Consider the following 16,937-nt stretch of genomic DNA (forward strand, 5'->3'; position numbering starts at 1 on the left):
CTATATCTGTACTGATATCTGCATTCATACCTGTAGTTCACCTGAGGTTTCTGTTCATGCCTTTTAATTGGAATCTTCCCTCTGACTTCAGATGTGGAGGGCAACTTCCATTTGTCCACCTGTGCGATCTTTTTTCTTCCCTCTAGGCATATGGTAGAATCTACACTTCTCACCCTTTTGCAGTTCAGTGAGACCCTGACACTGGTCTAGCCACCAAGCTCTTAGCAGAAGTGGACTGTCCCTTGTTTCTGCTGTGATATCCTCTTGCAAAAACTTTCATTCCCATCTCCCATGATGCTAAATGGTCAATTTGGTGAATGTTAGAGGGCACTTAAGCTGGGGAATCAATAACTTTTATTATGGGAAATGATACATGTTAGAATATCAGGAAACAGTCAAAGCATAAAATTATTAAGCTATGGGTAAAACTTAATGTAATTGTATGAATATCGAGGCTAGTTAGTTAACCTTAGGATTTAAAGCTCAAATAACATAAATAAAAATAAATATATTATGATGCATGTTATTATAATCAGGCATTAAGGATACATAGAATGAGAAGAATTATTAATAATAGGTAATATATAATACATTTCTTTATATGTATCATTTATTTGAATCTATATAGTCATTTTAAAGATGAGAATATCAAAGACAGAAGAATTTGGACCAGTTGCATGTGCATGAGTAAGCAATGGAACAGAGACTATCACCTGGATGTGATGGAATAAAAGACCCAGCCCCACACACCCCTGCCTATCGGCTTTCGTGTTTGTTGTAGTTCAGTAGTTTCTGTCATCTGGGAATGACCTTATGAATAAAGTAATATTTCATTGTCATTACATGACAAAAAGACAGCAGTCGGGTGATATTTTAAGCTTGCTCTAGTCATCAAATATAGTGTAAAAGGAAGTACACTTTCAAAATGAGATGATTTGAAGAATTAATTTGAATAGCATGGTGCCTCCCCATCAGCCTGAACCTTCCAATGGGAAAGGTGAAGAACTACTTTTTTTTTTTGCTCATACAATTGGTATTACTTCTTTCGTTTCTTCCTTCTTTCTAACATATTTTCTTGGAATGCATTTCCTATGTATTATGGGGGATGTAAAATGGATTGGATAATGAATCCTGCTCTCAAATAACTTAAAAGACTATGAAGTATCAACTGTCATGATGAGGGTTCAGAGAAGGTGACATGACTCCTGGCTGAAAGTCCTTTGAGGAAGTATGTAGAGCTGGGCCTGGAGAAGAGCAAACAGAACTTTCAGTATAGCAGAAGCACATAGTGAAGGAAGACCAATGAAAAATTATGACTGGGAAGCCGACTGGACTCAGATACTGGAAACCCTAGTATGAAAAGCAAGAAATTTTTATCTCAGTCTATGAGTCAAGATCCTGCAAACTTTTTTGACCTAATACACCCAATTAGTAAAAAAGTAAACAAAAACATTTAAAATTAGAGTAAAATCAGTAGCAAAATAAAATTTTAGAAGTCTTTTAAAAAATTACAGTGTGTGTGCAGTATGTATTAATCATTACAGATATAACTATAACTATTATTAGCTAATACTTATAGGCAAATATCTACTTACGATGAAGGTCATCACTAAAAACAGTAGATATAAACCTACATTCCAAATAATCTCCTAAATCATTTTAAAAAATATTTGGCAACTTCTCATTGTGTTATGTGGGAACATACTTGTTTTTGTCTTTTAGCAAGTCTGGCAGAATACCTGTGAACAAAATGGAAAGCACCAACGCCACCATTTTCACCTGAATTTACATTATTTATGATTCTTGTAGCCTGCAAGGTATTTCTAGGAATATTTTAATTTCCTCATATAATTTGTGAAAGTTCAGATAGCTAAAACTAGATAATGTAATTGGTTACTTAGCCTGGCACAAATAAACTATATGTAGCAATATGCTGACAGCAAGGGAAAAAGAAAAAAGAAAGGAAGGCTCTACTGTCCCCCTCTGTCCAATGTGCCACTTTCATTATTTCTTCAAGATATTTTTTGTATTGTGCATGATCTATAACCTACCAACCTACCAATAAATGGACCACATCTGTATATTTGTGTTAATCAGTATATAACATTATTAGTAAAGTTTTGTTTCCTATGTTTTAGATTGAAAAGTATAATAATAAGATGTTTTAGTATTTCTTCTTGGGCCTCAATGAATCATCTTGAAAATACCTAGAGTACAAATATTCATACTTCGAAGAAAATTTCTATAGGCACACAAGAACCACGTGAAGAATCTTGTGCAGAAGACAGAGGTCAAGCTATGGTTGAAGTAGTGAGCGAACAGCAGAGTACCCACAGATCCTTAGTTAAGAACAGGAGTGATATGGAAAGTGATAGACTACTGTTAGAATTTAACTCAGGAATTTTGTGTCCAAATCCAGTGATGGTTTGATATATTTACAAAAAAACTGGCAATACTTCATCATATTTACCTCACATTTTATAACATTGTTATAACTACTATTTATATTTATCCATTTTTTCTCATCCAGATAATAATTCTCCAAGTAGCATTAAAAATGTAACTATCATGTGTAAAAATGAGACAAATAATATAATGTCAAATCAACTTGGTATCTGATAGTGATGATTCTTACAGGCAGGGATTATAGATAAAGTAGTGATTCTTAAACTATTTTGTTAACTAATAGCAGTTATTTCTAATTGCTAAAGCAATCTGTGTGTTGTCACACATAGCATTAAATGAAAGTACAATCTTTTAAGCCATAATTTGAATGTGTGTTTTTCTCTTATAATCAAATGGAGATCCTTTCAGTTATAATGAAGAGTATAGCTGACAAAATGTAGCTTAAAGCGGTAGTTCTTAAACTTTAGCATACATCGGAACTTCGAGAGGGTTTGTGAAATCACAGAATGCTTTGTCAACCCCCAGGTTTTCTGATTCAATAATCTAAGCTGGGGCCCAAGCATTCTGTTTTCTAACAAATGTCTGATGTTGCTGTCTAGGAACTTAAATAAACAAGTATTCTGGAGGTAAGTGGTTTTAGTGTTGGCTTATTCAGCAGCAAAATGGTTTTATCAATGTCCAATGTGCTTGCCATCATTCCTGTCTTCTATTTTCATGGCTTTGCCCTGTTGCCACGGAATGGCTGCTGTAGCTCCATACCTCATGTGTTCATCTATCCATTACTCAAAGGCAGGCAATGTGGACGAGTTTCTCCTCTCATTTATCATCAAATAAAACTTTTCTTCATAGCCTCAAACAGTCCTTTCCCCTTACCTCCCATAAACCAGGATTTGATCAATGTAATTGCCTAGCCTTAAGGGAAATAAAATAAAAATAAAATAAGACTGAAGTTTAAGTTTTTCCATGCCAAGTTGGCTAACAACCTTCAGTATGAAAATAAGTTTCCTAGAAAAACCATAAAACACACTCATAAAGTGGTGGAAAAGAGTATCAGTCTAATTAAATAAATGCAAATTTTGTAAATTCACCTCAAACCTTATGAAATAAAGTAGCTCTAATGTCTGAAAACACAAGGGCTATGAGATAAAAGACTCATAATTGCTATTAAGTGACTTTCCACAACATTTGGTACGTTGGCTCATACCTTGAAATAGACATAAGAAATTTGACTGGCAACACTTCGCCATATTTAACTCAAGAAGTTGGCTAAATTTAAGAGAATACAGAGCTGCTATTCAGAACCGGCTACATACTTTGCAAGGTCCAGTGCAATATAAAAGCGCAGATCCCTTGTTCAAAAATTATCAAGAATTTCAAGATGGCAACAGTGGTGAACTAAGCATGGGGCTCTTCTTAAATCAGGGTACTGTGTGCTGCACAATTCAGTCACCTATGAATTGGTCTTGCTGTTACACCTTCTTAACTTCCCTAGTGCCTTCAAAAATTCCAGATTCTTATCATTTCCTTATGCATTTTTTAAATTTTTCTCACACCAGTAAAGAAAATGAAGACCATGCTCCTTTTCTAAACAAAGAATCTTCTCTTAGTTATAAATCATCCCACTCTCTAGTATGTGGCAGAAATGCAGATGACTTTGGTTTAAATCGCAACATTTTTCCATCCCACTGCATATAGATAGATAGATGAATAAATAGATGGATGGAGTGAGTGACTCAGCAGGTAGTAAGGTTTTGTCAGTTTGAGATAACAGAGTGTGCATTTATAGAAGGTGAAGATTTTGAACCTAGAATCAAAGAAAAAAACTGAGAAGATTTATCTGCATTTGAAGTGTGAATATCAATGAGGGTCATCAGTTGTTCTAAGAGTTTCAGAGCAGACTTTTAAAGTTAAAATACTCCACCTCCATGTCAAGTTCAATGCAGGAGCAAATTTTATCAGTCTGGTGTCCTTGTAGCATCAAAGGAATATCCCGCCTGTTCCCCCTTGTGGCACCGAGAAACGGGGCACCCTTTGGCTTTGTAGGGAAGATGAAATGCTGGCCTGATAAATCACCTGCCAATTGAATCGATGTAGATGGTTAATGTAGCTAAGTTGAGAGGGGAGGATCTGAAAGGGAAGACGTTGAGAGAAGAGGGATTTGGCAACTACACAAGTAACACTCCTTTACTAAGGCATTCTTTGCTTTCATGAAAAAAAATAAGATACAGAAGTGAGCTCTTTTAACTGCATTTATTCTTCCTCTCACCTCTTCCTTGAACTACATCCCTGGAGATATTTTTTTCTATAAATTCCAATTTGCATATCTAGTGGGCTTCCTTAAGATGAAGTAGCTCCTATCCACCACACCAGCTTTCTACGGTCTGTTTTTGAGAATGAATCAAACTACTCTGCTTTGGTGCATCTCTTACTTTACAGTACTAAACAAAACATGGATTATGCCATCTGAGTAGTTATAATATTCCTGACAAAATTAAAATAAATTAAATAACTTGTTAGAATATAACTCCATTGTAAAAAAAAATAGATTTCCAGCCATTTTGACTGAGTGAATGAATGCTTTTTCATTTCAAATATGGCTAATTTTATTTGTTAAAGTTTCTCTGGAGGAGTTGAGTTGCTATGTGCAGCTCCAAATTGGCAGCAGTTGAATTAAAACAGAAGTCATTGTATCTGCTATGCAGAAAAGTCAAGGCTCCCTGGACAGCTGGTGAAACTGGAGAGGCTGTCATCTGATCAATCTGACAAGGATTAACAACCACAATTGTTTGGATTTGCTTTTTCTGTCCCTTGATTACACGGAAACATGAAGTTTAAAAATTCATTGTCTTTTCCTGTATGAACTGGTGACAATATTCTATAACTGTGGATAAATGCCAATGTCACCATTTCTAAAACTTATTTTATGTTTGGCATTATAGCTTTGGGGAACTCTGAAATATTCAAGTACAGAAAAATCCAGGGTATCTTAAGAATGGCTGCAATCTTATAAATGTACAATTGGGAAAGGTTTTAAGGTAGGTTATGAATTAATCTGTTTTCTCAATGACATAGTTTAATGCCAGTACATAGAGTCTTCTTTGCGATTAAAGCTATACATATTCTGGGAGGAATTCATGAGCCGTTCCATGTCATGGAAACTCCAAAGGAAGCCAACAGGTGGCCCTGCCTTATGATGCCGCCTTGACATCAGCTAATACAACTTCTATGAGGTAATGGTTTGTGAATTTTTAAGATAATATTGGAAATTAGGTCTAGAAAACTAGAGTGAACAAACTGTTGAGCTTAGTTTTCATCCTCAAATAGCATGAGAGGGAGAAGGCTATATTTTAGTTTTTGTTCAGACTGAAGATTTTGAAAGACATCATTTTGTGATGTGAATGATTTTTTAAGAGATGTCATTCAAGAAACATTCTTTGAATATCTACTACATGCAACAAAATGACATTGATTTTGTAGAAATTAATTAATTAATTCTTATCCTTAACGATCTAGGTGGGAATAGAAACATATATTTAAAAAATGAGAAGTACGTCACCTCTGAAATTACCTAAATTATGTAAGCTGAGAAATACTTCTAGACTAGTACTAAGTAGAAGAAACTATAAAGAATGTACCAAAATTATCTTTACCTCCAGAACAAATATTAACATTAGGGAAATACGAGAAAAAATGCTCACTGATAAAAGAAACCTACACAATTTGGAAAAACAAAGATGATCTAGAGAAATATAAACTATAGATTAGGGAAAGCTTTATTGTAGTTAAAATATGATTCCATAGGTTTAAGCCGTTGACAGAAAGTGAAGTAAAGAAACATGAGTTAACTGATTTATACAATGGTTTCAAAATTTCCAAATCAAAAAGAGGAAAAAAAAATACATATATAGTGGATAGTTACATTATAAAATATTTTCTAGCCAAATTAAAAAATCCTTAAAGAATCTTATTTACATATGCACTTATAAGTGCTTGTAGTTTATAATGTAAAAGCATGATCTTAAGAAAAATTACATCGTCTAAAATCTCACAGGCTTTTCTTTATACTATGCTCTTGACTTCTCCAAACTTTATGAAAGGGCCAATGTGTCTGTTGAGAGAATTACTTGTTTCTCATACAGTGGACTTAAATTGGATTTAATCATCACTTCATATATAACACATCCCTTTCCCCTTCATCCCTCCACCACACACATACTCTAAATTTAATTAAAATAACTGAAATGAAACTAGAGATAATTTGTTTTTTAAATAGACTGCCACATGCTCCATTTACATAAAACCCATTAGTTTGCATTAAATACAAATTAGCTGCTGATATGAATTAAATCACGTATAAATAGTTGAGAATAGCCGCAGAACCAGGCATTTTAATTAATATAACTGTTAACCAGATTTATTTGTAAGGTAATCAAGACTCTTACTCATTTATTCTTTAGTACAATAGGCCAGGCAACACTGGCTGTCCCAGAACAGGCCATCCTTTCTACATGAATACAAATCCAAGAGGAAGATTGATTAGATTCTCAGACTTCAAAGTGTGTAAATGATCAAAGCTTGCCAGTTTAGAAATGATGACACCTTGGATGAAGAAACCTCTCAAATAATTAACTCATATTTATACAGTTTACTGATCACCTGAAGTACCCAAATTTTTGTCCTCCTTCCATACTTAGTCATGCTTTAATTTAAAACAAGATAAAGTATGTAATAAGTTTCCTTTGTTGCTATTCCTATTTTGACTTTTTCTGCATCACTAATAAGTATTTCAAATTTAATAATAACTTTCCAGACCAATTAGAATTTAGAGTTTAGCAAAAGTGCCTTATCCAGACTCTTTTTGTTACAAGTAACTGAACCTCAAAGTGACTTGATACACATAGATTCACATACATACGTGCACAGAAATGAAAACAGACAGGCTGACTTCAGGCACAGCTGGACCCAAAGCTCTAATTGGATCACCAGAATGACTGTGGCTCTTACCACGTCTAGGACCATTTTCTTCTATAGCTTCTATTCTTTGGCAGGCCCTGTTGTCATGGTGGAAAAATAGCTTCCCAGCTGTTTCTGGCTAAATACAGTCTCTCCACAAGCCCAATTCTTCCCCAATCATTTCAATGAACTCTCGTAAAATGAGTTGTATTTGCCTAGATCAATCATGTCTCTGCCTACAGCAATCACTACGGAAAAAAGAACAGAATACTCTGATTGGTATGAGTCACATGCTCACCTCAAGCTGGGAAAAGGGCCAGCCCCATATAAATCACAGGAATTAAGAGTATGGGTGAAACATTTTGATAAGATAGAAAGTTTATTGTTTTCCTAGATAAAGGGTGGAGGAAGGATATTGACATGGCCAATGCAAAAAAGAAACAGCTATCCATTATGGCGTTGTAATCTTTGCTTTGATGCTAAACTGTCAGCCTTCTTCAATCACCTCATTTGGGCACTGATTTATCAATCAGTGAAAAAAATCAAAGGTACACAATCAATATTCACCTGCAAAAATCCCTGATGCAAGCAGCCACAGGACTTGTAAATGGTGGTGGCAGACATTCAGCAAATAATGTACCAAGTTATGAAAAGCCTTCGTCAGCCTTAAATCATGCTGTTGGACGTACAGTGTTAAAATATGAATGCCACATCATGTGTGCGTTCTGACGGAAGGTTAGAGAGGATTAATGAGACAGGTTTAATTGACTGTAACTAAAAATCCTGGGCATTTGTAAAAGAAAAATATCACTTAAGTCATAATATTAAAAATTTGACATAAAAAAGCAGCATCTCATTTTAGCTGATGAACTTAGGGAATTGCTTATATTTTCTGCCCATTTCAATAACAATATTTCATTCCTTTGTATCCTACTTTTCAGTCTAAAATTTTACATAATGCATGACAAATATTGAGACACAAAAGAACTGGCATTGTTAACCCTTTACGTGCCAGGAATCCCTCTGGTGATTCGATGATGCCTATGTACACCATAGGACCCTTCTAATAATATTTTAAATTCAAAAGAAAATAAATTTCATAAAATACAAAGAAAACCAATTATACTGAAATGAAATTATTTAAAAAGTGTGAAATTGTAATATATTAATATATATGCTTCTGCAGTAACACATTAAAGGAAAAGCAATATCACTGGAGCATTTTAGCTGATATTTTGAGATTCTATAACGCTAATATGATATGAAAATATCTAATATTTCAATCGGGTAAAATGTCACAAGAACTACTAATACTAATGTGGTTTGTGGCCTATATTCACAATTGAAGGAAATGTAAATTTCAGTTCAAGGTTATTGAAAATAAAGATGTAAATTTTCCCATCCTTATACATGGACTTCTGCCAAAGGACATTTGGTCATGACTTGAGGGGGGAAAAAAAAACCCTGCAAATCACTGTAATAAGGCATGCTATCCATCAGTTTTTGGACCTTATTGCAATTTTCTTATTCATCTCTAGTTGACTTCCTGCCATATTTTCACAGGAGCAATTCCAAACTTTATTACCCATTTCTATCCTAGTTTTTTCTCTGTATGGCTAACTTTGCCTCCTACATTACTTAAAGAATGAAAGCAACCTGTCATTCGTTTCCTTCATTTACACCCTAAAAAGGTTTTGAATATTCTTCATTTCACCATTTTTCTTAGTCTTACAGATTGCCAGAAACTTATGCCTGCCAGTTATTTGGCACTTAATGAGAAAAACCAAGACACATAAAGAAAAGAAGAAACATTACAGCAGCCCCGTAGCTAGGCCTCCCCAAAAAAAGAAAGATGCTATTAAGGATGAAATAGGAGTTCTTGCTTGAAATCCTGGTCCTGAGTATGCAGGGATCTCACATTCTCTCACGGAAGGTAATGAGCATGGTGCCTGGATATGGAACTGTGACAATTCATTTATCTAAAGACAGAAGATGAGAAATGCGGCATAATCCAACCTTGTTGGACACCACGCAGGATAAAAAGCAGAAACACATTTGGGTGGTATACAGTAGGATCCCATGAAGTAGATCAGCTTCAACCTCCCAACATCCTGCTTCTCTGAGGTTATACCACCATATGGCACAGAATATTCCAGGAGTATTTCTTCCTGCCTGATGTTGTCTATGGGGAATGGTGTTCTCATCACCAAGAAGTTTATTTTTCTCTCTCTTTTTTCCCCCAAGAATATTGATTTCATCATCACAGAGAATGGTTTTGTTTTATACCCATTTTTGCTGAGATATATGTACTCCCCAAGTAAAAAAGCCTAGGGAACTTTACATGGAAAAAGAATAGAATGAGATTATCCCATGTTCAGAATTATGATTACCACATGACCACTTGGGTCCTTTGTTACTTCAGTTTTCTGGTTCTAAAGACAGGGGCACTTAAGAAATTCTGATAATTTCTCAAAATTCTTGCCAAAGATTACTTCTATAAATAAAAATTTTGCTGAGGGTTATCAATCATAAAAAAAGTTGAGCCCATTTTCCCATGTGATTTAACTGCTATTAAAAGATTCGTTTTTCACTAGAAATGCCATTTGACCCAGCAATCCCATTACTGAGCATATACCCAAAGGATTATAAATCATTTTATGATAAAGACACATGCACACGTATGTTTATTGCAGCACTATTCACAATAGCAAATACTTGGAACCAACTCAAATGTCCATCAATGATAGACTGGATTAAGAGAATGTGACACATATACACTATGGAATACTATGCAGCCATAAAAAATGATGCATTCATGTCTTTTGCAGGGACATGGATGCAGCTGGAAACCATCATTCTCAGCAAACTATCACAAGATCAGAAAAGCAAACACAGCATGTTCTCACTCATAAGTGGGAGTTGAACAATGAGAACACATGTACACGGGGAGGGGAACATCACACACTGGGTCCTGTCAGGGGTGGGGAGCTACGGGAGGGATAACATTAGGAGAAATACCTAATGTAGGTGACAGGTTGATGGGTGCAGCAAACCACCATGGCACATGTATACCTATGTAACAAAACTGCACGATCTGCACATGTAACCCAGAACTTACAGGAAAAAAAAAAAAAAAAAAAAATCTGTTTTTCTTAAGTGGGCCTGCTATGGGGAAAGTGATATGAGTGTTTCCTTTCCTTCTATGGAAACACCAAGTATGGTGCTTCTTAATTAAAGGGGTCGCCACCTGCTTAGGGGATGGACGCCTGAAGTTTAGTCCCTTGAGAAGCAGGCATTCCTTGCTCACTACTCCAGAGATCCACAGTTAAGGTGACTCAGCTATTTTCTATATTTGCTTCTACTGCTCTGGCCTCTACCCAGCAACCTCAATCCAACTACCTTTTTTTCAGTGTTATGCCTCTTACTTGAGGTGGGAGCTCTACCACCTACCAGATTTTACTGAGTCTGTCTTCTAATCACAAGCACTCCACTGGCTTGTTCCATCCTTAAAACTTTACTCCTGCCAGCTGTGGCCTCTAACTTTATATCTCACATTCAGACATTCTCAAGGGAGTTGGTGTGTTGGGTCAGTCAATCACACTTAGTTTAGGGAACGTTTGCTTGTTAGAACTCTAGGGCCAGGATACTCCATACATAATCTTCTAAGATGGCTTTGGAGTCAAATTGCTGATCCAATCATCAGTGATGAGAGCAATGGGGTGAAGTGACACAAAGCAGAGCACCAGAGCACAGAAAGCAGCAGGGATGGTGAAGGAGTGAGACAAGCTCTAGATATGTATACTTCTGGGATGGCGAAGGAGTGAGACAAGCTCTAGATACGTATACTTCCCTGCTATTTCAGGAGACAAAGTGTGCTACGTCCTCTCCAACGCTGGCAGATTTCCATACACACATTTAAGGGGTTTATGTCTTCCCAAGCATTGGTTTTCTATTAAAATGAGAAAGGTTCATTTTCCAAATGAGTTTCTTACATGGGTCCTTCTAGGGACTCACATCACTGGCTCCGTTATTTCACCTCAGTTATTTCAATATTGATATTGTCCCATCCTGATTTAAGACACTATAGGAGCTTTGGGAAATAATTAGATTAATTATTAAACTGGTATTTTGTTTTGATTGTTTGTGTTTGTTTTTCATTTCAGAACAGTTACTCTTATCTCTCATTTAAGTTTTTATTTATTTAAAATCTTTAAACATTTCACTCTGGTGCTATGCTGCTCCGTGTTCAAACCACATGAAATGATACAAACCCATTAGAACCAGAGACTATCTCTTATTCATCACTTTGATCTCCAGTGTCTAGTATCATGTCAGATACATGGAAAATGCACAATAAATATTCCATGAATGAAAATAAGAAGCCTAAGCAAAATGCATTAGGATGGAAACCTGGCAACAAAGCCAAACAAAAATAACTTGTCTGCAATTTGGAATCATCCACCTAAGTAGGATATGTCCACTTAGTTATGTGTTTTTTTGTTTTATCAGAGATAGACTTGCATATTCAGCTATGCAGATATATCTATGTTTGCATATATTTGAGCCCATATGTCATCAGTCCTTGAACGTACACTTTTTCCATCTCTACTTTCTATGCAAAGTACACTGGAAATATCTTTGATATAAAACAGAAGCATTCTTTCTTAACCAGCTGAAATAAATTCTACCTGTGGGTAAGGTAATTTTATTTTTTATATACAAATGAGGAAAATTTAGTCATATGTTTGTGTATGTATATACATATATATGCATATATCAGAAAAGGAAAGAAGGACTAAAGAACATGAATATAACATTGACACAGGAAAATAAAGTAGCTTCTCATTTCTGGCTATGTAGTGCCAGAGTAACACATTTTCTGCTGTGTGTAAGCAGAGGTAGCAGGGCACTGTATCAATAAAGAGATAGATGCAGGAAGCAGTACCTAGAAAACTCAATCCCTTCACAGCCAACTGACCTTATGAGTCAGAAGGAAATCAGTCCAGTTACACAAAACATTGGCAGAGCATGTAATAATTGAAGTGGCACTAATAGTGAAACACAGCAAATGCTCCAAGTACTTTTAATGTAAAAAAGAGGTCAAGCTTCCAGATGTTTCCACCGATTCATAAATAATTGACTACTGTTACAGTTACACTGTATTGTAATAAAGTTAATCCATGTGGCTAGTATTAGTTTGAGTAGTATAAAACAGTTCAATCAATATTTAAGTAAATCATAACATTAGCTCTTATTAGTAGTGTTTATAACATCCTTTTTATACCAATTTATCTTTCTGGCCAATGTACTATTCAGATAGCAAAGCTTATCAAGTAGTAAAGTTATTAACTAAGTGCAAAATTACAAGACATATTTTAATCCCAAAGATTGTCTTAAACACTGTAATTCATGTAGAAAATGTTTATCCTGTCAGCAATACTCATAAAATCCACATGTAATGTTTCTCTTCTTCTCTCCCTAAGGCTCACATTTATTCACTGTCTTCTCTTTTTTAACCTAGTTGTTCTCCAAAGGTCTCTGGGGACAAGAAGTATTTTTTCAATAAACTACCTGCTGTAGACTTTTTTTATCTTTGCTCCACTGAACAGTCCTGCCCTAGCATTTATCTGTCACACCTCTGAACACATCCTTCCCCAGTCAAGCCTTAATTAACATTTTGATACTTTCTCCATAAAGATTCAGTAAAGATTGATAGCTGGTGCCTGGATGGCTATTTTATATTGAGTAGTCAGGAAAACCCACATTAATGTGAAGACATTTAAGCTGATATTTGCATGTTTAGACAAAGTCATGCAAGAGTAAGGGGGAAGAAGTAGAGGAAGCTAAAGCAAGAGTATGTTTGGCATGGCCAAGGAGTAGATAGAAAATCAGTGTGGCTGATGGGCCCTGGGTAAGTGTCATGGAGGAAAACTGGAAGAGGGCATGAGCTAGCCAGTTATGAAAGTCAGGGTAAGGCATTCCAAGTGCACTTTACATGTGGTGGGAAAGTATTGTGAATCTTATGCAGAGGAATGACATAATATAATTTGGATTTTTTTTTTTTTTTTGGGAGAGAGAGTTTTGCTCTTGTTGTCCAGGCTAGAGTGCCATGGCACAATCTTGGCTCACTACAACCTCCGCCTTCTGGGTTCCAGCGATTCTCCTGCCTTGACCTCCAGAGTAGCTGGGATTACGGGCACCCGCCACCTTGCCCAACTAATTTTTGCATTTTTAGTAAAGATGGGGTTTCGCCATATTGGCCAGGCTGCTCTTGAACTCCTGACCTCAGGTGATCCACCCGCCACAGCCTCCCAAAGTGTTGGGATTACAGGTGTAAGCCACTGTACCCAGCCTATAATTTGTATTTTTAAGCGACTATTTTGACTGCTGAGTGGAGAAAGGATTGATTGAGCAAGAATAGAAGTGAGAATGATTAGGGAGCAGATTACTGTAGAAATTCAGGTCATACGCTAAGTTTGCTTGGACCAAAAAGGTATGAAAAGAGAGAGAAGTAGATGCACTTAGGATATTTATAGGAGATAGAGTCAGCCAAACTTGGTACTGGAGCAAGAGAAAGAGAGGAACCAAGAATGACAATATGCAATATTTACCTTGAGCAACTGAGAAAATGATAATGCACTTTTCCAACACAAGAGAAACAGGTATAGCAGTATAGAGTTCAGAGTTGGAGCTTGGTTCAGTGCCTAGGTCACAATGTGCCATCTTATATGAGTTGGAACATAGCCAATAATTGGTAGAGAACATAAATTAAAGCAGGCCTACCAATATCATCTAATTGAATTAAAGGTCTCTGAAAATTATTTTTCTTATTTGAAAAAAAATGGAGATATTATCAAATTGGTATGACAGTATTATTGGAAAGATTGAATGAGATTACAAATATCAAATTATGTTTTAAACTGTAAAACCCTGAGAGTTGATTAAACATAATCCATCTCCTTTCCTGGGGCTTCAGAATAACCCTAGCAGCCCAAATATAGGAACTGTGGCTTTCAACAAGCAGCCATGTCTCCTCAGCCATTCTTTTAAATGCAAACAACACAAACAACAAGCTTGCGCTTACTATAGTAATATCCCCTCATCCTCATTCTCTGCTGATAAACTCCCTTCATTCTTCACTGAAGATATAAACAATTAGAAGAGAATTTCCCTACTTTCTTTCTACCAAATCTACCAGTGTCTCTGCTCCGTTGGTTGGGGTTCTCCAGAGAAACAGAACCAGTGGACAAGTGTGTGTGATTTACTGTAAATTGGCTCACATGATGATGAAGGCTGACAAGTCCAAGATCTTCAGTCAGCAATCTGGACACCCAGGAGAGCTGATGGTGTAGCTCAAGTCTGAGTCCAAAGGCCTGAAAACCAGGAGAAGTTATGTCATAGTTCCTTTGTGAAGGCCTACAGGCTAGAGATGCAGGAATAGCCAGTTCCTGTTTAAGTCCAAAGGCAGGAAAAAAATGTCCATCTGAAGACAGTCAGGCAGAGAGAAATTTCCTCTTACTCATAGTAGGGTCAGCCTTTTTGTTATATTAATGCCTTTTGTTGCATTAATGGATCACCTGAGGTCAGGAATTCAAGACTAGATTAAATGGAGTACACACACATCAGGGACAGCAATCTGCTTTCAGTCTACCAGTTCCAATGTTAATTTAATCCAGAAACACCCTCATAGACATACCCGGAATAATGAGCAACCAAATGTCTAGGCACCCTGTGGCCTAGTCACGCTGACACATAAACTTAATCATAATAAATTTTCTGTGTCTGTTTCTCATGCCTTTCTTCCTGTTATCATGAATTTACTGCAAGTACTTCTTTCTAAAACCACACATTCCACAGATGTACCAAGGTTAGCTCTTCTGCAAATAAATAGTAAATATTTTATCAATCGTCCCGCCAAACACATACCCCTGGCTATTTGCCCAGTAACTACATGTACAGGGTTGGTGAGAATAGCCAGAATTTTAAGGACACTGAAAAACATGATTTGATGACACCAAGATTAGGGGACTTAAAATACTTTTAAGTTCTTCTGACTAAATGTAAGGCTTATGAAGGTCACATCATAAATGTAGTTTAGAACCAAGTCTATCTAGAATGGCTCCACTTGGTGGCTATTTATAGTGGTTTCACTCTGTGATTATTTGTAATGGTTTCATCCTATGGTTATTTACCTGCTCCCTTGAGTATATAATCAGAGTAAATATATTTTGTAGTTGACAGAACTCTCACATTGCCCCTCTGATCAGCGGAGTAATGATTATTATGTAGGAAGGGTCAAGCAGGAGTTTCTGAAACTGCTCACTGCACCCACTTTGCCTTGGCCAAAATAGTAGATCAGAAGCAATAGAACAGCTCAGGCAGAATAGCATCGCAGAGATTAGTGCAACTATCAAACTTATTGGATTCCGTGATAATATTTCCCATCACTCCATTCAAGTCACCTCTCCGGACCTCAGAAAACAGATGGAATATGGCAAGTGACAGTAAACTAATGAAAACTTCACCAGAGAGTAGTCTCAATCACACCTGCCATGCTAAATGTGTCATCACTAGAGAAGATCCACAGCCTCTATCTTCTGGTATATGGCAATTGATCTTGTGGCAAATGCTTTCTTCTCTACCCCGAAAAAGAGACAAGAAAAAAACAATTTGCATTCACATGGCAGATATAGAAGTTCACATTCAATGTATTGCCCCAAAGCTGTTTTATGTCTTGTGCTTTTTTATAGAAATATAGTCATAGGGACAAGATCATCTTGACATTCTACAGCATGTTAGCTGTCCTATTATATTGATGACATCAAACCAATTCATTCTGACAAGAAGGAAGTGGAAAACACTCTGGATACCCTACTAAAACATTCTGTGTCAGGGAGACAGAGATAAACCCCAAAAGGGTCTAGGAGCCCACTGCATCAAAGAAGATTTTAGGATCCAGTTGTCTGGAGGCATGTTTGGAAATCCCCTCTAAAGCAAAAGAGAGGCTATTTCACTTCACCTCCTTATCTACTATTACTCCTACTACTCCCTACTACTAAGAAAGAGATACAAGGCTTGGTGGTCTGCTTTGAATTTTGAAAATAAAATATACTATATTGGAGGGCATGCTGATGCCTTCAATTTAAGGAGCTAAACCAGCGGATTATTACTACTAGATTCTAGGGTTCTTGTCAGAATATTGAATCCCAAGTGATGGGTTGCTCATCACTTCTGCTTGTTGAAAGCCAGAGAATCAGTAAATTCTCCACTATTTGCTTTATATTCCATATTCTCCTGGTGAACACACTCATTTCCACTCCCCCATGCATCTTCCATTGCCCCTGTTGGTACATATTACCAGATACTGAACTTCCTTAAGTAAATAGGCTAACTCCTTCCTGAGAAATAGCTTTGCTGAGAGATCTGACTGACTGTGGTGATTAGCTTGAAGACAATGAGGGGTGGTGGGGGCAAATTTTGCTGAGAACAAACATCATCTTGCAAGGCATCTGCCTCAGTGCATTTATTGCATGGTTTCAGAGAAAAGCAGTTTGCTTCTGCAAGACAGCATTAAGGAA

At 36.5% G+C, this 16,937-nt stretch overlaps 1 long non-coding RNA gene across 1 annotated transcript in view; it reads right to left on the bottom strand.

Annotated features, from left to right (window-relative positions):
* The window catches only part of LINC01950 (long intergenic non-protein coding RNA 1950), a 195,818-nt gene that overhangs the window by 136,774 nt on the left and 42,107 nt on the right, over nucleotides 1–16,937 (bottom strand). The window lies entirely within an intron of this gene.

This window comes from Homo sapiens, chromosome 5 (assembly GCF_000001405.40).
Source record: "Homo sapiens chromosome 5, GRCh38.p14 Primary Assembly".
Classification (NCBI taxonomy): domain Eukaryota; kingdom Metazoa; phylum Chordata; class Mammalia; order Primates; family Hominidae; genus Homo; species Homo sapiens.